Source organism: Homo sapiens, chromosome 8 (assembly GCF_000001405.40).
Source record: "Homo sapiens chromosome 8, GRCh38.p14 Primary Assembly".
Classification (NCBI taxonomy): domain Eukaryota; kingdom Metazoa; phylum Chordata; class Mammalia; order Primates; family Hominidae; genus Homo; species Homo sapiens.
The window spans coordinates 62,963,606-62,989,548 of record NC_000008.11 but is presented as its reverse complement, the minus strand read 5'-3'; the positions used below and the strand labels follow the sequence as shown (position 1 = coordinate 62,989,548).

The following is a 25,943-nucleotide window of genomic DNA, read 5'->3' as shown; positions in this document are numbered from 1 at the left end:
AGAATCATGGGGGTGGGTCTTTCATGTGCTGATCTTGTGATAGTGAATAAGTCTCATGAGATCTGATGGCTTTGTAAGGGGGAGTTACCCTACACAAGCTCTCTTCCTTGCCACCATGTAAGACATGACTTTGCTCCTCCTTTGCCTTCTGCCATGATTATGATGTCTCCCCAGCCATATGGAACTGTGAGTACATTAAACCTGGTATTTTTTATAAATTACCCACTCTCAGGTATGTCTTTATTAGTAGAGTGAGAACAGACTAAAACAGTAAATTGGTACCAGATGGTGGTGCACCTCTGTAAAGGTACCCGAAAATGTGGAAGTGATGTTGGAACTGGGTAACAGGTGGAACAGTTTGGAAGGCTCAGAAGAAGAAAGGAAGATGTGAGAAAGTTTGGAACTTCCTAGAAATTTGTTGAATGTCTTTGACCAAAATGCTCATAGTGCTATGGATGATAAAGTCCAGGCTGAGGTGGTCTCAGATGGAGATAAGGAACTTGTTGGGAACTGGAATAAAGGTTGTTCTTTACTCCAGTAAAGAGACTGGTGGCATTTTGCCCCTGTCCTAGAGATCTGTGGAACACTGAACTTGAAAGAGATGATTTAGCATATCTGGGGGAAGAAATTTTTAAGCGGTGACGCATTCAGGAGGAAGCAGAGCCTAAAAGTTTGGAAGATTTGCAGCCTGATGATGTGATAGAAAAGAAAACCCCATTTTCTGGGAAGAAATTGAAGCTGTCTGCAGAAATTTGCATAAGTAATGAGGAGCTGAAATGCTAATCACTAAGACAATGAGGAAGATGTCTCCAGGGCATGTCAGAGATCTTCATAGCTGCCCCTCCCATCACAGGCCCAGAGGCCTAGAAGGAACAAATGGTTTCCTGGGCTGGGCCCAAAGCCCACCTGCTGTGTACATCCAAGGGACTTGGTGCCCTGCCTACCAGCAGCTCCAGCCTTGGCTAAAAGGGGACAAGGTACAGCTCAGGCTGTGGCTTCAGAGGGTGCAAGCCCCAAGCCTTGGCAGCTTCCATGTGGTGTTGAGCTTGTGGGTGCATAGAAGTCAAGAACTGAGGTTTGGGAATCTCCATCTAGATTTCAGAGGATGTATGGAAACACCTGGATATCCAGGCAGAAGTGTGCTGCAGGTGCGGAGCCCTCATGGAGACCCTCTGCTAGGGCAGTGGAGAAGGCAAATGTGGGGTTGGAGCCCTCACACAAGGTGCCCACTGAGGCACTGCCTAGTGGAGCTTCAAGAAGAGGGTCACCATCCTTCAGACCCCAGAATGGTAGACCCACTGACAGATTGCACTGTGCATCTGGAAAAGCCATAGACACTCATAACCAGCCCATGAAAGCAGCTGGGAAGGAGGTTGTACCCTGCAAAGCCACAGAAGTGGAGCTGCCCAAGGCTGTGGGAGCCCACCTCTTGCATCACTGTGACCTGGACGTGAGACATGGAGTCAAAGGAGATCATTTTGGAAATTTAAGGTTTAATGACTGCCCCATTGGATTCCAGACTTGCATAGGGCCTATAGCCCTTTGGTTTTTGCCAATTTCTCCAATTTAGAACAGGAGTATTTACCCAATGCCTGTACTCCCCTTGTATCTAGAAAGTAACTAACTTGCTTTTGATTTTTACAGTCTCATAGGCAGAGGGGATTTGCCTTGTCTCAGATGAGACTCTGGAGTTGGGATTTTGTGTTAATGCTGTAATGAGTTAAGACTTTGGGGGACTGTTGGGAAGGCATGACTGTGTTTTGAAATGTGAGGACATGAGATTTGGGAGGGGCAGCGGCAGAATGATATGGTTTGGCTGTGTTCCCCACCCAAATCTCATCTTGAATTGTAGCTGTCATAATTCCCATGTGTTATAGGAGGGACCCAGTGGGAGGTTATTGAATCATGGGGGGGAGGTCTGTCACATGCTGTGCTCATGATAGTAAATTAGTCTCATGATATCTGATGGTTTTGTAAGGGAGAGTTCCCCTGGACATGATCTCTTCCCTGCTGCTATGTAAGACGTGCCTTTGCTCCTCCTTTGCCTTCTGTCATGATTGTGAGGCCTCCTCAGTCATGTGGAACTGTGAGTCCATTAAACCTCTTATTTTTTATAAATTACCCAGTCTCAGGTAGGTCTTTATTAGCAGTGTGAAAACAGCCTAATATACTCCACCTCCTGAATTCAAGGGTTCTCATGCCTCAGCCTCCCAAGCAGCTGTGATTCTCCAAGAATCAAGTGATTCTCATGCCTCAGCCTCTCAAGTAGAATTACAGGCACACGCCAGCCACCACACCCAGTTGATGTTTTTTTTTGTATTTTTAGTAGATACGTGGTCTTGTCATGTTGGCCAGGTTAATCTTAAACTCCTGAACTCAAGCGATTCAGCCACCTCGGCCTCCCAAAGTGCTGGGATTATAGGCATGAGCTACCACACGCAGCCAATAATTATATATTGAGTGCACTTTTAGTAGGACATAATTGAACTTAGGTCTTAAACAATGTGGAAATATATCTAGCATTCAAGATGATATAACCATTATACATGAAGAGCTCCCAAATCATATAAGCATGAAAGAGCAGGGGCAATGTTTAGATAAGAGCAAGAAAAAAACACGTTGTGTGTAAGAGACAAGGCTGATAACCTATGTTGGGTCAGATAATGGATGAGTTTATATACCAAGATGAGAAATTTGGATCTGAGTCTTTATCCTATTTCAAGATTTTAAGCAGGGTGATAAAACACGGCTCAGATTTCTTACTTTAGAAATATAATACTGAAAAGCAGAGTTTTGGGGGATGGGGGAGGGTCTAAGCTCCATGAAGAGACTATTTAATAAAGAGTACCATAATAAATGCAATGGCAGTGAGATTGCAGAGGAGGAGCAAAGACATGATTAAGTTATTGTGACACAGGCAAAAGATGAAAGAGAAGAAAAATAATATATACTAGTCTGTAGTTTAAATCATAGCTATGATTAGATTATAGGAACATCTAATATGTGTCGTGCTTGATGTCATTCACTTTGGTAGGGAGGGCACCATGTTTGAGAGGCTGAATAAGAGACCTGAAGCCAGTGAATGAGACACAGAGTTTATTGAGGGAACTTACATATGGGGCAGTCCAGTGATAGTGGGCTGGAGAGGAGGACTGCAACCACTTGTAAAAAGCATGCAGTTTATATGACATTTTCACTTATCACTGTTCTGCTAGCAACATCCACTTGGCAACATTCGTTTAACCCAAAACAAAGGGCCTCAATCTCCTGAATGGGCTGCGTTCCACAGGATGGACTAGGGGCTCAGATGTTCCTTATAGATAAGAGATGAATCTCCGGGTTAGCCACTCCTGGATTCTTTAGCACAGATCTCCAAATACACATTCTTCTTAAACCATAGGGTCATTCTTAGGGTATGCTTAAGTTGTTGCTATGAAATGTGTCTGCCATACAATATGATTTCCATTTGTCCAACGAGGCATAGGAATTCAAATCCTCATCCAAGGGAAAAGGCAGTCATATCAGCAATGTAAACTTTTCTTCTTAAAATTTGGCTTGTAAGTAGATAGACACTCTGAGACTAGACTATATTTCTACTTTGATAAATGGAAATGGAAAAAAAAGTATGAATTTTTATGTTGTTGTGCTTTCATCTCTAAGAGTAGAATCTGGAGTATGTCACTAAAACAAGCCTCCCTGCTTCCTTTTAAATAAAGTTGTAGAACTACAAAAAGTTGCAAAAGCAATACAGAAAGTTCCCATAAAAGTTAACAGGCTCCTCCCTTTTTTTTTTTTTCTGTGATGAATGCACTGTGAGGTGCTAGCAATTTGTTCAAGACAAATTCACTCACTGTTTTTGGGAAAGTCTGATCTGGGGATGGAATCCCAGTGCAAATGACTCAGGTCAGATGTTAAATGTTCTGTCAAATAATGTAAAGAATAAAGTGTTCTTTTAAATAATTTTTGTGGAGACTACAGTACTCTCATGTTAAGGGGATTTTACTCCCTGGCTGGGTTGTGGTGGAGGATGTTTTGATGACCTGTCTCAGAGGCAATGAAGAAGTCAAAAGTGGGCAGATCTCCTTGGGAGCAACAAGATAGAGGCAGGGGAGCAAGAAGAGTCTGATGGAGACCAGCCTGTGAAGGTGGATTCAGAATGTCTCTGGACTCATTGGTACCTGAGACCTACTTTAAGGTTTTCTTTTCTGGAGTATATTTACCACAAAACCTTAGTAACACTTGTTAGTTACAAAGGTTTGTTTCAACTTTGCTTGTGGAATCAAAAGAGAGGCCGAGTTCCTGTTTTGGGAAGAGGCAGGGTGGAGTGAGTGGCAGGGGTGAGATGTAATTGGAGTCAGGGGCATTGGTGGGGAAGCCCAGAGCAGCTGTCTGCAGTGGGCAGTGGCATCACCTGGGTACACTTGCAGAACATTTAAACGCTCTCCAGGGTTGCTCAGAAATTTCTAGGGGAGGGACCAGGTTTCCTATAGTCATGTAGCTTAAGACTTTTATTTGTGCATGAAATAGGGGGGTAATCCTCCAAAATCTGAAGAATTCAGGAACATTCAAGATGCATATGGTTTCTAAGTTTACTACAATAAATATATAATATAGTGAGAAAATGTATTAAAAACAGTAGTCATCTTGTACTTCAGTGTACATTTTTATTCATAGTTGAAAAGAATAGTCTATTACTGCTAACTTACTGTAAATTTACTTAGAATCAAAGGGTCCAGAGAGACATAAAAAATGTATGTAGTTTCTGTTAAATAACACTTTCTGATCACTTTCAAATATGAGTATAATATACAGGCATTATATGCACAAAAATGTAAATAGTAATTGTGAAAGCAAGTCTTGTTATCAGTTTGTATAAGAAAAAAGACATTTATTTTTTCACAGGCTACCAACATCATATAAGATAGCTCCTGATAGGCTTTGACTTTTTCAATTAATTCATCTCATAAGTCAAACATCTGTAGAAAAGAAGTTAATATACAGTGAAGTCACTACACAGTGTTATGGGACAGTAGAAATTCATATCAGTACAAAATATCATTCAAGATTTTTACATTGAATTCCAGTGTCAAGATCAAGAGACATCTTTGCTGGCAAGCAATCTAAGAATTATTTGAAGATTGAGAGATTTAAAAAAAAAATGATTTCTGCTGGTAAAAATGTTAAAGATTAAAAACATGTAGTAGAAATAGAAGGTACTATGTTCTTGTCTTTCTGTCCCTCTTACCAGCAACCTGTGCCTTTGAAATATAATGAAATGCCCTAGGTACTTCCAATATTTTCCATAAGATGGCAGAGTTGGTATTGTGAATGTGAGAGCAAACTCCCTTTAGTTCTGTCAGTCACAGCAACAAAAAGAGGCTTAGAGTCATTCTCACCACTTAAACATTGCTATCGTGCTTTCAATAATCATCATCAACATAATAATAAAGCAATAATATCTAGTTTTTAGAAACAATAATGAAAAACCCAAAGATGTGTCAATCTGCAATTACATCATGGTTACCCAGGCACTCCCTTTGAGCATTGCTTTTGATCTTTTACTGAGTTCCTTTAGTTGCCTAGTCTGTTAAGTTTTATTTAAACGCTAACCAGTCAAACTGGGTCCAAAGTCACCATTCTCAGATCACCACACATGTAACAAGAAAATGTCTGTTTGTATCACTGAAGCAAGCAGTGTTCATAGTTGTTTTTGATTGTTAGGAGCTGTAGACGTGCTCTTTTTAATGCAAATTCAGAGGTCTGTCAGAAGTGCTTTGGTTTGTATAAAATGGGTGACCGCAGTTCTGAAATGTTAGTCAGGTCCTGAGCAAGAGGGGGCTTATTTTGTCCATTTGCTCCTTCATCCAGAGCCCTAACTACTCAGATGAATGGGGCGGTCTAGGAGGACTTCAGTCTCATAGCACGAACAGGTGTTGGTTGCAGAGGGCAAATTCAAGGAAAGCAAATCATTGACCATGTGAAATCCACACTAGGATGTATCTCCTAAACTCCCTAAATTAAAATGTGAATTTGATTTGTTTTTATCACTCCCCAAGCTTTTTGCACAAGACAGATGGTCACTAAGTGTTTGTTGAATGCTTAGGGAGACAGAAGAGGGTTGCAAATGGGCTCTCCTTCATCCTGGGATCGCTGGGGCTCTGAAACTGGAAGAAGAAAAGCACTGGCACCTCCTATCAGAGCCCGGCTTGTGCAGAGCCCTATTGGGGATTTTCTTAGGGCCTTGAGGGTTAATACACCTCTTCACCACTGGACTAGGAGCTCCCGGTGGGTAGAATCTGTTTTTTTTGCTTTATATTTCTAGTGCCTGCACAGTGACTCACATACAGTAGGTACTCAGCAGGGGTGTTTTCAAAGAAGGACGCAACAATCATAATTTGTCTCCCAGTGGATACTGGCAAGTAGTGTGGCACGAAGGAGGTCATCTAATGCTGTCTCACCTAGGGAGCTAGTTTACCAAATGCTGGTATGGTAGCTACCTGCAGTGAAACTTCCAAGTCAGTAGTATCTTGTGGGTATTGTCAGTTTTACACACCGGAGAGAAAATTAGACTTATTCATGAATGAAGAAGAAACATGTCCCAGTTTGATATAAGCTCTACTATCAACAGACAGGAGATGAGATTTCCTTTTACAGAGTGCTGACAAACCAAGAATGTGATGGGAAGCAAGTTTGTTTTGAGTGTGGGCAAGATCTTGTGGAGGATGACAACTTCCCACAGAGAAAGCATGCCACACCCATGCTTGCTATAAATGCTTCTCTTTTCTGTGAAATATTCCTGGGATTTTGATAACTTTGGAACTGAAAAAAAATCTGGGCATTCTTCTAGAAGAGACAATTTGGCAACAGCTAGGTAAAGGAAAATTTATCAAAGGGGAAAATTCTAGAGAACTCATGTCAGGACTCACAATCTTGAAAATCTATTCATTTTTTTCCAGAGATAGCATCTCATTATACCATAGCTCCTATTCAGAACATGCATGAAGCATGTCTACAGAATTACTGACGCTTTGCCCTTTTAGCCATTTTGGAAGGAGAGGCGTTTTGGAAGACTCTAAAATATAGTTTACACAAATCTAATTATTTAACAAGACCATAATGACTGCGGGGCCACCACATATCGTTGTGAGGTTATGGAAGAAACAGAAACGCCACATTGAAAGGGCTCTCCATTCAAATTGTAGACATTGAAGATATGTATGGTTATCAGAAAAAGTTTTCCAGCAGATGAAAATAAGATCTTATTTAAGTAGAAGTCAATAATTAATAATTTCAGGACAGATGAAGGGGAAGTATCTGGAGAAAATGGTACCTGTTCTTAATTTATACTAATGAATTTTTAAATTGATAGTCTGAAATCATCATAATACAAATGAAATGCTGTTTTGTAAAGCAATACAGTGCTGCCTGCAGGCTCTTACCTTAACTATCCCCATAAAACTGTAGTTTAGATTTTTATATGAGTTTTCTATCTCTGTTCTTTTAGGTAGAGATAGTGTGTTTAATTATTGCCATTATTTCTGCTTATTTACATAATATCTACTATACCTTTCTCATTCTCTGTTTCTAATCTGTTATGTGCTTGAAAATTATTTCATTTAGATAATTCGAACTGTGTATCGTTAAGAGTTAATAGGATTTAAACAAAGGGTTAAAGAGTTTTTCTTTCTTTTCTTTTTTTTACTATACTTTAAGTTTTAGGGTACATGTAAAACTCAGGAGTTTTAGAGTATGGATTTTATAAAATCTATTGGGATAGAGATCTTTTTTTTTTTTTTTTCGGTCCTTAGTTCTGTTGTGGATACATAAGGTTGCCACACAGCAGAGTTCTTGTCACATTTAGGAAGTCTCAGAAAAATTTGAAAGGTAAGCTCACCTGAGAATACCATTTTTGTCTTTTTTTTTCCTACCTGCAATGGCAGAAATTCCTTAGTGCTTTCAGATCACAAGTTCTCAATGTGAGTTATCACTCCTAAGTTCCTACCACAGGATGAGAAAGAGCTTTGTTAGTCTGTGTCAGGCATTTTGCTTTAGGAACTGATGTGGATATTAATTCCTTTCAGTTTGGATTTCCCCCAAAGGAGGTAAAGGTATTTCAAAGTGTTAACACCCAAATTTTCTTTGAGTTATACAGGATTAAAATGGAATATCTATGTCTTTAAAAGAAAACGAGACATATTCTTATTACAGTTATCACGGGTGCTATTAATACTCTGGCCTTCTGGTAGAATCTGTCATCTAGCATCATAGATTTGCAGGGGCCCTTTAATGAAAACTCTCCATTTTCTTAAAGGTTGTAATTATTATGTAGCACTATACTTATAGATGTGGAAATAAGAGGCTTAGGCAGAATAGAATCAAGGAAGGTTGTAGATGGCCATGAGCACTGAACAAATGAGGAAAGAATAAAATGGGACCAGGAGTTATCTTCTCAACACTACCCTGAAACTGCCGCCCAAACTTCCTTTTTGACAAAGATTAACAGGACCAATGCAATTTAAGCTCTGAGTCTTCAGACCAAAGACTTTGTGGGCCTAGGAACACAAAGAGAAATTTACAGAGGGCCAGGTGATTTTGACTTCTGGGTAAACCTTAGATAATTTGAGTTCCATATTCAATGGCTTTCTCTGTGTTATTAAAAATTCTAACACCAACTGATTCTTAAAATCCATAACACCAAACAAGTGGCTTAAAATAATAAATGGAATTAATGAGCTTTGCTTGTGCCATAGAAACAAATTAAGCTAAGCATGCCACACAAATTGTCCAACATTCCATTCTCCACAGTTATTTCACTTGGTGCTCCAGACATTATGTTTTGCCTAAAAATATCATGTACAAGGAATATTTTTTTCTGGTTTAGATACATGTCAAAAATAAAAAGCTATATAATAGCATAAATATTAAAAGATATTAGTAGAAGAAATGGGTTAAATATTATGGTTTGTAATAACAAAACCCCTGGACAATGCAAAGAAAAGGCTGCACAACACAACGCAAGTTTTGATGAAGGAACCAGAAAGCTAATCAACATTTACGTATGTCGTACTCTTATTTGTATTATCATTATCTGAATACAGTAGAAATAATTGCAATGATTATGCTTGGTTTCATATCTGATAGATGGTCCTAGTATATTATCTTATAAAACTACATTGCATGCCTGCTATTTGAAGTTAAAAGTAGATTTGAGAAACCAGAAGGAGAAAAGAGCAATCCCCTTTAAAAAGAATTGTCAAAGAAATGATAGTATGTGAGGCAGTTAAAAAGTGACTTTAGCACTGATTTGCAAAATCAATTCCTTAGGAACAAAATTTTTAGAAGAGACTGACACCCAGCAGTTAAAAGTAAGCTATTTTCATGTTTGATGAAAAATCATCAGGAGGCTTGTCTAGGGCATGTGGGATTACATTTAAACCAAGAGTAAAGAAAGAAGGTGGCAGCCAGGACTGAGCTGTTCTGTCTTTTGGGAAGCAAAGAACAGTGATCTGAGGTCTAGGATTTCCTATTTGCCCTGAGAAGACAAAAGCAAAGATGAATAAAAAGCAAAGACAAGACAAAAGCTAGGCAAAGACCCACTGGAAGGTGGCTTTCTGATGCTCAGACCCAAGCAGAGGGAAGGCGAGGAGCAGGTAAGCCAATAGCAGGTGTCTTTCTGCAGCTGCCCTGTAGCCTTGATTAGCAGGGTCCAAACAAACGCAGGCAAAAAAGGCATTGAATTGTAGTCAACAACAAAGCCCTTGTCTAGTCAGGACTTGTTACAGCTGATGGCCACCAAGTGCAGAGGAAAGAAGACTAGACTGAGAGCTTGCATAGCAGCCCCAGTGGGATGGGACATGAAGCAAAACCACTGTAACTACCAGCCTCAATCTCCTCATCTGAAAACGGGGCAAATGGAATTGCTGAGGTCCTTTTCAATGCTAAAACTGTACTGTATAGAGAAAATGCCACATCGTATTAGACATATTATTTCTTTTAGCTTTCACTCCCCAAAATAATAATTTACCATTTATTGTTTAAAGAAATGGGCCATGTGGCACATTTTAGCAACGTGATTATTTAGAAAAGGGTACACTCGACTGTTGAAGTTTGATTGTGGATGTGTGTGTACATAAATAAGTCACCCAATCTTGTTTAAATCATCAGTGACAGCTGCCAGATTTGCAAACACTAGGTATTAGGAGAATATAACACTTTTCAGCTACTTCATGGGATATTGCTTAATAAGTAGAACCTGGAAGATGACTCTGTTTCTGTTTCACTGTCTCTGTCTCCTTGTCTCTGTTTCTGTTTCTCTCTCTCTTTCACACACACACACCCAGCCTAGGAAGAATATGCAATAAAATATAATTACAGATTCCCAGGCAAGATGGCCGAATAGGAACAGCTGTCTGCAGCTCCCAGCAAGACCAACACAGAAAGTGGGTGATTTCTGCATTTCCAACTGAGGTACTCGGTTCATCTCACTGGGACTGGTTAGACAGTGGGTGCAGCCCACGGAGGGCAAGCAGAAGCAGGGTGGGGCATTGCCTCACCTGGGAAGTGCAAGGGGTTGGGGAACTCCCTCCCCTAGCCAAGGGAAGCCATGAGGGACCATGCCGTGAGTGGGGGTGCACTCCGGTCCAGATACTACGCTTTTCCCATGGTCTTCGCAATCCACAGACAAGGAGATCCCTTGGGTGCCTACACCACAAGGGCCCTGGATTTCAAGCACAAAACTGAGTGGCCATTTGGGCAGACACTGAGCTAGCTGTAGGAGTTTTTTTCGTACCCCAGAGTTGTCTGGAATGCCAGAGAGACAGAACCATTCACTCCCCTGGAAAGGGGGCTGAAACCAGGGAGCCAAGTGGTCTTGATCAGTAGATCCCACCCCCATGGAGCCCAGAAAGCTAAGATCCACTGGATTGAAATTCTTACTTCCAGCACAGCAGTCTGAAGTAGACCTGGGATGCTCAAGCTTGGTTGGGGGAGAGGTATCTGCCATTACTGAGGCTTGAGTAGGCAGTTTTCCCCTCACAGTGTAAACAAAGCTGCCAGGAAGTTCAGTCTGAGTGGAGCCCACTGCAGCGCTGCAAAGCCACTGAAGCCAGACTGCCTCTCTAGATTCCTCCTCTCTGGGCAGGGCATCTCTGAAAGAAAGCCAGTAGCCCTAGTCAGGGGCTTATAGATAAAACTCCCATCTCCTGGGGACAGAGCACCTGGGGGAAGGGGCAGCTGTGAGCGCAGCTTCAGCAGACTTAAACATTCCCACCTGCCAGCTCTGAAGAGAGCAGCAGATCTCCTAGCACAGCACTGGAGCTCCGCTAAGGGACAGACTGCTTCCACAAGTGGGTCCCTGACCCCCATGCCTCCTGATGGGGAGACATCTCCCAACAGGGGTCGACAGACACTTCATACAGGAGAGCTCTGGCTAGCATCTGGCAGGTGCCCCTCTGGGACACAGCTTCCAGAAGTAGGAGGAGGCAGCAATCTTTGCTGTTCTGCAGCCTCTGCTGGTGATACCCATGCAAACAGGGTATGGAGTGGACCCCCAGAAAACTCCAGCAGACCAGCAGAAGAAGGGCCTGACTGTTAGAAAGAAAATTAACAAACAGAAAGCAATAGCATCAACATCAACAAAGAGCATGACCATGTAAACACTCCTTCCAAAGGTCACCAATGCCAAAGACCAAAGGTAGATAAAGCCACAAAGATGAGGAAAAACCAGTCCAATAAGGCTGAAAATTCCCAAAACCAGAACGCCTCTTCTCCTCCAAAGGATCACAACTCCTTACCAGCAAGGGAACAATACTGAATGGAGAATGTGTTTGACAAATTGACAGAAGTAAGCTTCAGAAGATGGGTAATAACGAACTCCTCAGAGCGAATGGAACATATAGTAACCCAATACGAGGAAGCTAAGAACCTTGATAAAAGGTTAGAGGAATTGCTAACTAGAATAACCAGTTTAGAGAATAACCAGTTTAGAGAAGAACACAAATGACCTGATGGAGCTGAAAAACACAGCACGAGAACTTCATGAAGCATACACAAGTATCAATAGCTGAATCGATCAAGCAGAAGAAAGGATATCAGAGACTGAAGATCAACTTAAGGAAATAAAGCATGAAGACAAGATTAGAAGAAAAAAATGGAAAAGGAATGAACAGAACCTCTCAGAAATATGGGACTATGTGAAAAGACCAAGCCAACGTTTGATTGGTGTACCTAAAAGTGATGGGGAGAATGGAATCAAGTTGGAAAGCACAATTTAGGATATAATCCAGGAGAACTTCCCCAACCTCGCAAGGCAGGCTTAGGAAATACAGAATACAAATTCAGGAAATACAGAGAACACCACAAAGATACTCTTTGAGAAGAGCAACCCCAAGACACATAATCGTCAGATTCACCAAGGTTGAACTGAAAGAAAAAATGTTAAGGGCAGCCAGAGAGAAAAGTTGGGTTACCTACAAAGGGAAGCCCATCATACTAACAGCAGATCTCTCTGCAGAAACCCTAAAAGCCACAAGAGATTGGGGGCTAATATTCAACATTCTTAAAGAAAAGAATTTTCAACCCAGAATTTCATATCCAGCCAAACTGAGCTTCACAAGTGAAGGAGAAATAAAATCCTTTACAGACAAGCAAATGCTGAGGAATTTTGTCACACCAAGCCTGCCTTTACAAGAGCTTCTGAAAGAAGTACTAAATATGGAAAGGAACAACCAGTACCAGCCACTGCAAAAACATTCCAAAATGTAAAGACCATCGACACTATGAAGAAGCTGCATCAACTAATGGGCAAAATAACCAGCTATCATCATAATGACAGAATCAAATTCACACATAACAATATTAACCTTAAATGTAAATGGGCTAAATGCCCCAATTAAAAGGCACAGACTGGCAAATTGGATAAAGAGTCAAAACCCATTGGTGTGTTGTATTCGAGACCCATCTCATGTGCAAAGACACACATAGGCTCAAAATAAAAGGATGGAGAGATATTTACCAGGCAAATGGAAAGCAAAAAAAAGCAGGGGTTGCAATCTTAGCCTCTGGTAAAACAGACTTTAAGCCAACAAAAATCAAAACAGACACAGAAGGCCATTACATAATAGTAAAAGGATCAATGCAACAGGAAGAGCTAACTATCCTAAATATGTATGCACCTAATAGTGGAGCACCCAGATTCATAAAGCAAGTTCTTAGAGACCTACAAAGAGACTTAGACTACCACACAATAATAGTGGGAGACTTTAACACTCCATTGTGTGTATTAGACAGATCACCGAGATAGAAAATTAACAAGGATATTCAGGACTTGAACTCACCTCTTGACCAAGCAGACCTAATAGATATCTACAGAACTCTCCACCCCAAATCAACAGAATATACATTCTCCTCAGCATCACATAGCACATTTTCCTAAAATCGACCACATAACTGGAAGTAAAACACTCATCAGCAAATGCAAAAGAATGAAAACCATAACAAACAGTCTCTCAGACCACAGTGCAATCAAGTTAGAACTCAGGATTAAGAAACTCACTCAAAACCACACAACTACATGGAAACTGAACAACCTGCTTCTGAATGACTCCTGGGAAAATAATGAGATCACAGCAGAAATAAATAAGTTCTTTGAAACCAACAAGAACAAAGACACAATGTACCAGAATCTCTGGGATAGAGCTTAGAGGGAGTGCTTAGAAGGAAATTTATAGACCTAAGTGCTCACAGGAGAAAGTGGGAAACATCTAAACATCTAAAATCTAAACATCTACAATCAACACGCTAACATCACAATTAAAAGAATTAAAGAAACAAGAGCAGACTATTTCAAAAGCTAGCAGAAGACAAGAAATAACTAAGATCAGAACAGAACTGAAAGAGATACGAAAAACCCTTCAAAAAATCAATGAATACAGGAGATGGTTTTTTGAAAAGATTAACAAAATACTTAGATGGCTAGCCAGGCTAATAAAGAAGAAAAGAGGGAAGAATCAAATAGACACAATAAAAAGTGATAAAGTGGAGATCACCACTAATCCCACAGAAATGCAAACTACCGTCAGAGAATATTACAAACAACTCTATCCAAATAAACTAAAAAATTTAGAAGAAATGGATAAATTCCTGGACACATTCACCCTACCATGACTAACCCAGGAAGAAGTTGAATCCCTGAATAGACCAATAACAAGTTCTGAAATTGAGGCAGTAATTAATAGCTGACCAACTAAAAAAAAAAGCCCAGGACCAGATGGACTCATAGCTGAACTCTACCAGAGTTACAAAGAGGAGCTGGTACCATTCCTTCTGAAACTATTCCAAACAGTAGAAAAGACAGACTCCTCCCTAACTCATATTTTGAGGCCAGCATCATTCTGATACCAATCCCAGGCAGAGACACAACAAAAAATGAAAATTTCAGGCCAATATCCCTGATGAACATCTATGTGAAAATCCCCAATGAAACACTGGCAAAAGAAATGCAGCAGTACATTAAAAAGCTTACCCACCATGATCAAGTCAGCTTCATCCCTGGGATGCAAGGCTGTTTCAACATATGCAAATGAATGAATGTAATCCATCACATAAACAGAACCAATGACAAAAACCACATGATTATCTCAATAGATGCGGAAAAGGCCTTCGACAAAATTCAACCCTCCTTCATGCTAAAAACACTCAATAAACTAGGTATTGATGGAACATATCTCAAAATAATAAGAGCTGTTATGACAAACCCACAGCCAATATCACACTGAATGGGCAAAAACTGGAAGCACTCCCTTTGAAAACTGGCGCAAGACAAGGGTGGCTTGTCTCACCACTCCTATTCAACACAGTATTAGAAGTTCTGGCCAGGGCAAACAGGCAAGAGAATGAAATAAAGCGTATTCGAATAGGAAGAGAGAAAGTCAAATTATCTCTGTTTGCAGATGATATGGTTGTACATTTAGAAAACCCCATTGTCTCAACCCCAAAACTCCTTAAAGAGATAAGCAATTTCAGCAAAGTTGCAGGATACAAAATCAATGTGCAAAAATCACAAGCATTCCTATACACCAATAATAGACAAACAGAGAGCCAAATCATGAACAAACTCCCATTCACAATTGCTACAAAGAGAATAAAATACCTAGGAATGCAACTTACAAGGGATGTGAATGACCTCTTCAAGAACTACAAACCACTGCTCAAGGAAATAAGAGAGGACACAAACAAATGGAAAAACATTCCATGCTCATGGATAGGAAGAATCAATATTGTAAAAATGGCCATACTGCCCAAAGTAATTTATAGATTCAATGCTATTCCCATCAAACTAACATTGATTTTCTTCACAGAATTAGAAAAAACTACTTTAAATTTCATAGGGAACCAAAAAGAGCCCATATAGCCAAAACAATCCTAAGCAAAAAGAACAAAGCTGGAGGCATCATGCTACCTAACTTCAAACTATACTACAAGGCTACAGTAACCAAAACAACATGGTACTTTTACTAAAACAGATATATAGACCAATGCAACAGAACAGAGGCCTCAGAAATAACACCACACATCTACAACCATCTGATCTTTGACAAACCTGATAAAAACAAGCAATGGGGAAAGGATTTCCTATTTAATAAATGGTGCTGGGAAAATTAGCTAGCCATACGCAGAAAACTGAAACTGGACCCCTTCCTTACATCTTGTACAAAAATTAACTCAAGATGGCTTAAAAACTTAAATGTAAAACCCAAAGCCATTAAAACCCTAGAAGAAAACCTAAGCAATACCATTCAGGACACAGGCATGGGCAAAGACTTCATGACTGAAACACCAAAAGCAATGTCAACAAAAGCCAAAATTGACAAATGGGATCTAATTAAACTAAGGAGCTTCTGTGCAGCAAAAGAAACTATTATCAGAGTGAACAGGCAACCTACAGAATGGGAGAAAATTTTTGCAACCTATCCATCTGACAAAGGGCTAATATCCAGAATCTACAAGGAACTTAAACAAATTTACAAGAAAAAAAACAACTCCATCAAAAAGTGGGTTAAGGATATGAATAGACACTTCTTAAAAGAAGACATTTATGCAGCCAACAAACGTAAAAAAAAATCTCATCATCACTGGTCATTAGAGAAATGCAAATCAAAACGACAATGAGATACCACCTCACACCAGTTAGAATGGCGATCATTAAAAAGGATACAACAGAGGCTGGAGAGGATGTGGAGAAATAGGAATGCTTTTAACACTGTTGGTGGGAGTGTAATTTACTTCAACCATTGTGGATGACAGTGTGGCAATTCCTCAAGGATCTAGAACTAGAAATACCATTTGATCCAGCAATCCCCTACTGGGTGTATACCCAAAGGATTATAAATCATTCTACTATAATGACACATGCACTCCTATGTTTATTGCAGCACTATTCACAATAGCAAAGACTTGGAACCAACCCAAATGCCCATCAATGTTAGAACGGATAAAGAAAATGTGGCACATATACACCATGGAATACTATGCAGCCATAAAAAATGAGTTAATGTCCTTTGCAGGGACATGGATGAAGCTGGAAACCATCATTCTCAGCAAACTAACACAGGAACAAAAAACAAACACTGCATATTCTTACTCTTAAGTGGGAGTTGAACAATGAGAACATATGGGCACAGGGAGGGGAACATCACACACCAGGGCCTGTTGGGGAGTGGGGGACAAGGGGAGGGATAACATTAGGAGATATACCTAATGTAGATGATGAATTGATGGGTGCAGCAAACCACCATGGCACATGTATACCTATGTAACAAACCTGCACATTCTGCACATGTATCCCAGAACTTAAAGTATATATATGAAAAAAGAATGTAAATAAATCATAGAGAATATTGGCAAATACTCAAGATCTGCAAAGGAATTTTGGGGTGGATTTATTCACCACTGTCTCATGTGTATAATCTGCCTTCACAAATGTCAACTGAGAAGCACGTAAATAGACGACGAACTTGATTCAGAGAGAGACAAAAAAATCTTGGGAAGTTTAATTATTGATGTTAGTATCACTTTTCTATTTGAAAAACTAGGAAGATAAAAGACTGGCATTTGATGTATCAACATACTCAATCTGGTGGTTAAAAATAAAAATAAAAAGTCATATTTTGCCCCCCAATATATACATATTTATAATTACAAAAAATTTTATTAATTCCCTCACTTGTATATTTTTTTGGACAATTTGAATACTCATTCCACTTCAGCCGATATTATGTTCTTGAAGAAAAAGAGATGAAGGGAAAAACAGGTCCAACTTATACTGAGAGAAAATAAGAGAAAAGATCATATACTTCTTATTTATCTCTCGTACTCCTGACTTCCCAAGCACTGATGTTGATTATGTACTTGTTAAACTGAATAACAAGAAAATAACAACACTACCAATCAATTCAGAAGAGAAGGCCCTACCAAAATAAAATAGCCAAGTGTTATGACCATAGAAGAATTAATTTATTGTGGCAGCACAATGAGGACCAAGCAAAATGTTAGATTGGCTCTAGAATTTTAAACTCAATTCTAGAGAAGAAAAGCTAAACCTGTCTGCAAAATTATGGGAAACCTAGAAGGATGTAGTGCTACTGATTTATTTTCATTTCTTTCTAACCACAAAGACAAGATAAGGAAACAAGATGAGGCAGAAATTCTCATTTCACATACTTGATGATTAAATCTCTCACAGTACTGAAGAATATATGTACATTTTTTCTAGAATGTGTTATAAAGTACTACAAATGAAAACACTGTTCCAAGAAATCATGTCAATTAGTTTGAACTGTGTGATTGAAACTGCTAAGTATGATTTTATAAATATTTTTCCTTCTTACTAATAAATGAAGCCCCCCCCGCTTTTTTTTTGAGACAAGGTTTGGCTCCATCTCCCAGGTTGGAGTGCAGTGGCATGATCTTGGCTAACTGCAACCTCCGTCTCCCAGGTTCAAACAACCCTCCTACTTCAACCTCCCAAGTAGCTGGGACTATAGGCACACACCGCCACAGCTGGTTTTTGTATTTTTTGTAGGTATGGGGTTTTGCCATGTTGCTCAGGCTGGTCTCGAACTCGTAAGCTCAAGTGATCTGCACGCCTTGGCCTTCCAAATTGCTGAAATTACAGGCATAAGCCACCATGTCCAGCAAAGCTCTTACTTTTTAGTTAAGCATAAAGTCATTAAGAATAAAGACTATAATACCCAGGTTTCTTCACTGCAAAGTTGGGGGTGGACCAAGTTTTGGCTAATGAGATGTAAACAGAAGTAGTGTGTGTATTTCTGAGGCATATCCTTAAAGGAAAGAAACATTCCTTTTGTTCCTTCTCCACCTCCAAGGCCAGAATACAAAACCAATGGCTGAAGCTTCAGCAGCCATTTTGAGTCATGTTATGGTCTTAAAAATGGCGGCCACAGAGGATGAAGCAATGAGAGGAGTCTCGGTCCTTGTCTCTAGGGAAATCACATCCGGCTCTTTGCTGACTGTCTCCAGAATTTCGAAATAAAAAGAGAAATAGACCTCTATGTTATTTAATCCATTGTCATTTTTCTTTTTCTGTTACTTGTAGGTAAACCTAATCCTAACTAATATAGACTAAGTTGTCTGCCAAAGCAAATTCTATGAGAAGAAATGGATAGATTATTGGTTTCTTTGAACTGTTTCTAAATAACTCTGAAGAGGAAAGGAAAAACATGCCTTACATGGAAAATGATTCAATGTTTTTAGTCAATCAAAGAAACAAGAACAAAATTCTGAGTTAAAAACTGACTGTTCAAATCCCAATTAGGTGACTTTCAACTTTGGATTCTTCCTTCCTGTCTCCTTGTCCATTCCCTTTCTTTCTCTTTCTCTTCCTCATCTTCTCTCCATTTTCCTCTCCCTTCCTTTCTACCTTCTATTCTTTTCTTCTTTTTACTTAACTTAGCTCTCAAGTTTAAGCTAAAGCATATTTTGGATTCTTTAAATATTTCAGTTTTTAAAAATGTTTAGCATTTAACATGATTTTTACCCTTTATTTGAATGCAAGTTCAAGAAAGATGATTCAAGTTTTGCCTGCCACCAAATTTTTCTACAAATACCAATATTTAAGAAGCTGTATCCACCTTCAAGAAGTGGCATTTTTCTTTTTAGTCTTCAATAAGAAACTAAGCTTTTTCAGATGAAAAAGAGATGCTACCCATAACTTTTGAATTTTTTGATAATTCCATTTTTTTGAGAATTCTTTATTGATAAATACCTTCTTCTAATAATTAAAACATATCTACTTATCTCTCTCTCTTTTTAGAGACAGGCTTTTGCTGTATTGCCTAGGCTGGAGTGCAGTAGTGCACTCACTGCAGCCTCTAATTCCTGGGCTCAAGTAATCTTCCCTTCCCTCAGTCCCTCAAGTGGCTGGGGTCATAGGTACATGCCACCATGCTTGGCTAATTTAAATTTTTTTTTAGGTATTTTTTGTTTATTTGTTTGTTTTTGTAGAGATACGGTCTCACTATTTTGCCCAAGCTGGTCTTGAACTCCTGGCCTCAAGTGATTCTTTCATCTCAACTTCCCAAAGCTTTGGGATTACAGGCATGAGCCACTGTGTCTGGTCATCTGTTCCCTTTCTAAATTGTTCACTGTGCAGTTATATGAAGAGTACTTTCCTCTGTCAGTTCACTTTTGGGCATAATATCCTTAAGTTGTGGCCTATTTATCACAAATATTTCAACATGGTTCTTAGACACTTCAACAGACCTTCTATCAAACAAAGGTTACAGATAACTTTTAAATTAGATGGAAATAAAACCGCAGGCATTCAAGTTGTTATAGTTTTAAAAGAGCAATTATTTATATTTTTCCTACTTAATTCAGCTATACCTGGAAAGAACGTATCTTGGGCAAAAATGTCAAGTTAGAACATTTGCATTCTGATCAACTATGAAATTTATCCTAGTTACATACTAAAGTGACTCAGAAAAAGTAAGTGAGGATTTGCTTAAAAAATGATTAGCCAGAATAGACCATATTTGGGGACACAATTCGTTTTAAAATTAGGTATGAAATGAAGATTTGTTTATTCTTGGCAAGATTCCTTTTTAATTTGCAAAGATTGAAAAGAGAAATTTTGGTTTTTGCTTCTCAAATTAGCAGAGTCATGATTGTTTTCTTCAGATTTGCAATGTACATTTTAGCTAGTTTTAATGAAGACAAATTCTTCTCAATCAGGAGTTTCCCATTCATTAAGTGAGACAGATGACAGCCTTGGTATATTTTGTTAGAGCCAGCCTCTTGAAACTGGCTGCCTCCCTTATTTAGGTCTATAGGAATAACAGGGCTTATTTTTCTGAAGGAAAAATCAAAGAAGTCAATATTTTGCTAGGGCAAAGTGTCGAGTATCTTCAAAACAAATGAGCCAACCACCTCCCAGATTTGAAGTGGTAAGAAAGTGTGTTTTCATTTTTCTCATTTGAGGGACACATACCCTCACTTTATGTGGTAGGTGGAAGGCTAAGATACTTGGGGATATACACATTTAGAGATTTTCCTAAGAGATGTTTGAGATTTCTCTGATGTGTGCTATTCCACAACCCAAGACATTTTGTGTCCTTTGGTAATTCTCTAACCCTCCCTGTAACTCCCTTGCTTAGATTTTGATGGCTTTGAAACATGACCAGAAGCTCAAATAAAGAAAAAGTAAGCTCGAAAGCATCCCAGCTTCCTGCGGTGCTGCACGAGGTCAGCAGAAGACGCTTAAGAAAGGATGCATCATTCACACAAGATAGAAGGCACGGCCTGAGGAAGGGCTGGCCAAGGTTTACAAGACTCAGTGCTAAGGTGGCTCCAAGAGGAAAAACACTGGCTTTAAATGTTCACCATTCCAGTCAGCACTAGAAGCTAAAGAGCAGTGGATGTCCTATCTTCAGTTTTGCCAGGGCCACTTCTGAGGAGAGCTATTGAATCTAGAGCTGCACCATCTCTTAAGATAGTTAAGATTCTGACCAATGAATGCAAGCTAAGGGATGCATTCATTTTCCCTTACTCTGACCAGACACACAATTGCATATGGAGAAGCTGAGGTTTGGCAAGAACATACAGTGCATGTAGTGACCATGTCTTTGCTGAAAACCCTACTGGATACGCACAATGCAGAGTGCATTCTATAAGACTGGAGGCAAAAGCAATAACTGCAAATGCTCATTTCCATGGAACAGTAACTGTGACAGTACTTCATTGGAATTACCCAGATTAACGGGTAATTGCCAAGTATTACTGTACAACTCTGCACTTCTTTTTTTCCCTTTGTCTTACAGAAGCATAGCCCTCAAAGAGAAACCAGGAAGATGAAAGGCAGGGAGAAGAAAAGAGAGAAGAGGAGGTGGCAGATCAATCTAACTTGTTTCTGATGAGTGGCAAATATCCAGAATGTTAGGACAATCTTTATGGATTGCTGAGGTTGGAGATTGAAACAGTTATAACTTCATATTTAAGTGAAGAAAGATTAAAAATGAAAACATATACACCATATTAAATAGTTGCCTACATTGAATATTCATAGACAAATCACTAAGGTAAGGATTTTTTCCTCAAAGCTGTTATCTGCACTTAGACTAAGTTCAGACTCTGCAGTGCCTACTAGAACTATGTACAAATTCACGTGAAGATAAAATAGAAACAAAATTTAGTATGGTTCTATTTTGTGAAATGTTAACCACATTTTATTTGCATGTGTATGTGTGGGGGTAATTAAGTGACAGTTTAAAATATGTCAATACTCATTTTATCCTTTTTTACTGACTCTCTACAGTTTTGATGTTTTATCAGCTTTTTCAATAATCGTAACAATACTAACAATAATTATTGGCATTAGTTTTGGAACTTGAATATTAATGTTATTTTTAAATTAAAGCATTTTTTAGTTTATTTCAAATCATTTAAACTTGGGCAAGGTTTTCCCAGCTGCTTTTTAAAAAACAGAGTTTGTTGTTTCTGTGGGCTCTTCATAGCGCTTGAGTGGAAAGCAAGAGCTCCAGACAGGGTACAGAGGAGTGTTTTGACATTATTAATAATAATCACCTCCTTTAATTGTGGAGTGCTTCACTGTGTACTGAGAATTTTTTTACATTTTTCGTTAAATTCTCACCTCACCTTTGGGAGGTAGGGATCATAGTTCCACTTCATTGATGAGGAAAACTGTAGTGCAGAGATGGCAAACACTGTCCAAGAACATGGTGGTGGATGGGACCCAAACCCCAACTTTTGCTCCCATGTTCTCTGTCCACTGGCTATGGCTCTTGCCCCTGTGTACAGATACAGGCTCTGGACAAGTTCACCAAATCCCTTAGGCTTCAGCCCCCTCATCTGCAGAATAGTGGCTTGGATTCCACCATCTTCAAGGTCCCTGCCAGCTTTTCTTTATTTGAATTTGGATTTATTAAGCAGAAAAAAAAGTAATGGGAGTTTGTGGGTACCAATGGATTAAAGGGGTAAAATCTGGAGGCTAGTGAGTAAATTAGGTCTCCAAATGGCTCACTGTGGTTGTGATGAGCTTGGAGGAATGAAGGCAAACTTTGTCACATTAAACTCTGATTCTTAACAGAGTCTCATGAAACCTATAGGCTCCGAAAGAAGAACAAGAAGAAAAAAGACTTTCACACACATACAAATATTTGTAACAGTTTTAGGTGGTTAATAGACGGACTTCTTAGAGATGCATGGGCTGAGTTAATAACCACATATTCACAACTTTCTGGCCTATAGGGAGCTTCACTGTGGTCGTTACACAAAGTGAGCAAAACTTATTTTCATATAAAAAATAGTGATTGAGAAGTGTGGGCAAAAGTGATGTGAAAAGTGTATATATTTTATATTGAGAACAGACCAAATTATCAGTGATGATGAAAATTAGCACAGTGGTTGTCTGTGAGAATGTAGGCATTGCCTGAAAGAGGGCATAAGGGAATTTTTTAAAGTGACGGAAATGTTCTGCATTTTGATTGAGGCCTTGGTTACATGGGTATGTACATTTTTCAAAACTAATCAAATCGTACCATTAATATTTGTGCATTTTACCATATGTAAGTTTTATGCCAGTTAAAAAAATACAACTGTGATGCGTTTTCAAGACAGTCCTTTTTTCCACAGATAATTGCTTCCCATATCATTTTCTTGGTTATTGGGAAGGGGTAGGAGAAAGAAAAGCTGATGTTGCTCACACGTGAATGTCTCCTTTAGAAGTATTTATAGAGAATGCTACAGCATTTTCAGGCTTCTTTTGAATATCCTAAGAGAAAAGTTCCTGACTGCAGGTCTATGTTTGTGATTTCTGTCCCACAAGCCCATGAGCTGTATGTTTAGGTCTGACAGCAGTGTCAGGAATGGAATAATGAGTAGAAAATATGGACCTCAGAGACACCCATATTCCCTCCAAAGGGGAAAGGGGTTCTACTAATCCTTTTACTCTTCCATGTGCCTACATATATATATATATCAGGAAAAACAAGATATGCACGAATCTGAAAATTTAGATTGCCATAATATCGTTCTGGGTTTTAAGAAGTCAGGAACAAAGGAGGACTCCATGTTTTGTTTTATGCTGTTGAAAAAATGACCCATATTCAATCCAAAAGCTGGATCCATTATTTGTACCTATTTATCAGCTGTCACAGGGTCTACCTTGGTGGCTGATAACCACAGGTAATGTCTGCTAAAACAAATTCATCAGGCCTAGAATAACTTCAACAGTCAGCAGTGCTGACTTAACATCTCCACAGCACACACTGAGATTTCTCTTAGAATTGACTGTAGAAGGTTTTCACAGATTTGCTTTTTCATTTTGCATGCCTCACATTAAATATTGTTAAAAATTTAAAACCAAATTCTGTTTTTTCTTTTTTTTTTTTTTTTACAACTTACAAGTGTTCATATAAGAAGAAAACGACTAAAAAAATACCCACCCAAGCACCTAGAACTCATCTAGAGAACAATGCTAATAATACAAAGGCTGTGACCAAAATGCTCCATGATTCGTGGGAAAGCCAGGAAGCACAGTCTAGCCTCTGGAAGGAATGTCAGGCGGGTCGGATCCACCGAGGCGCGCAGTCAATGGTCCTTTGCTCCCTAAGTCAAGTTCAGCAGCCGCATTTCTGGTTCAATGTCATTACTTATTTCGACCTAAAACAGAAAATACGAATTGCTTTCAAGAACTTCAAAGCTGACAGCTAAATATCTTTTATATTCATTGAGGCCTTTTGAAATGCAAAATAGCTCCTGGGTGCACCTGGTGCTGTCTGACTGTAGCAATAAGAAAGTTAAAGACTTGGGCCTTCCTGCTTTTCAGATTAGGGCATGGTAATCGGGCATCATCATCAGAGTTCAGGATGATTTCCTGGGAGAGAAGTGCCAACCACACAGTAATTGTTGTGTGATATGGAGTAGTCACTATTGCTTTTCTTAAGGGTAAAGATAACAGGGTAGTGTTGTGTGCGCAAACTATGAGATATTCACATAGCCTGTTCTTTCTACAGTATGCTGGGTAGTTAAGTGCTCAAGATCATCCTGCTCTTGCTTTCATAACACCCAATCATTGACTTATGTTCCTTACACACATCCCATCCTGTGATGGCTACTTTTATGTGTCAGCATGGCCAGGCCATGGTGTCCAGATGTTTGGTAAAACTTCAGTTTACCTCTCGCTGTAAAGGTGTTTTTTTTTAAATTTTTTATTTTGAAAAGTGATTAACACGTAAATCAGTAGACTTTGAGTAAAGCAGATTGCCGTCTGTAATGTGGGTGGGCCTCATGCAATCGGTATAAGGCCTTAAGAGAAAGGACTGAGGTCTCTTGAGTTAGAAGAAAGTCTGCCTCCAGACTGTCTTTGGACTTGAGCTGCATCTCTTCCTTGGGTCTCCAGTCTGCCAGCCCCCAGATGCACGCATGTGTGGGGAAGCACACACACACACACACACACACACACACACACACACACACTCTCTCTCTCTCTCTTTCTCTACTGGTTCTGTTTCTCTGGAGAACCCTGACTCATACAGATCCCCATCTCCAATCACTGTTTTCTCCACACTTTTGACAATGACTCTACTTATTCTATCCTAAGCTGTAAGCCTTTGGAATGTTAGGGCATCAGTTTCTGCATCTTTGCACAATGTCAACCTCAACACAGTACCTACTACATAGATGATACTTCATAAACATCTGTTGAACACTTTTGCTCTCACAGTTTCTCTCCTATGAAAAGTCTTAGCTAATCCAAACCCTACTCAACTTTGAATGTTGGCTGAAATTTCTTCTCTACTGTGAAGAAGACTTCCAGTTCTCCCTCAGCCATTTTGCTTTCTCATCCTGCTAAGAGCAACTCTCAGGCTATCAGCTCTTCCCCATGTCAGCTGGTGGCATCCAGGCCTCATGATTAATTACTTTACCCAGGCATGCAAGTTTTCTTCCTTCAACTAAATTATAAGCATCATTCCAACAGACTGCGTTTCACACTCACTTCATAACCACATCTAGCAACTTCTTTTCCTCTACTTCAGTTTGATGACTTTGTGCCTTGGAGTGAACTCTTTGGTTATAATTTGGAATGGCTGAAAAATTTCCCAAAAGTTTTACTTTTTGGTTGCCACTCTTCTCGCTGTACAGCATGAAGAAAACGACTAAAAAAATACCCACCCAAGCGCCTAGAACTCATCTAGAGAACAACTCCCTCCTGCACGCCCCAGGAGTGGGAATCCTCCAGGCCTCTCCCTGTGCCCCATCACATTTCCTCTGCTCATCTATTCTCTACATTCTGAATCTCAATGTCTACCCTTTCTACTCCTTGGCATGTTAACAGGGATTTAAACTAAAAGAGAAAGGGATGGGATTATAATGGTGGAATTTTATAGCTTTATGCAATCTTTACGTTA

At 39.4% G+C, this 25,943-nt stretch overlaps 1 protein-coding gene across 3 annotated transcripts in view; it reads right to left on the bottom strand.

Annotated features, from left to right (window-relative positions):
* Positions 1-25,943, bottom strand: part of NKAIN3 (sodium/potassium transporting ATPase interacting 3) — a 750,799-nt gene that overhangs the window by 10,104 nt on the left and 714,752 nt on the right. Inside the window, exon 7 of one of the 3 annotated variants that reach the window (NM_001304533.3) lies at positions 4,645-24,195. The exons of the other annotated variants lie outside the window; for them this stretch is intronic. Coding sequence (NP_001291462.1) covers positions 24,142-24,195 — 54 coding nt within the window. The 3' untranslated portion in view covers positions 4,645-24,141. Of the gene's footprint in view, positions 1-4,644; positions 24,196-25,943 lie in introns of those variants that run through there. 3 annotated transcript variants of the gene reach the window in all.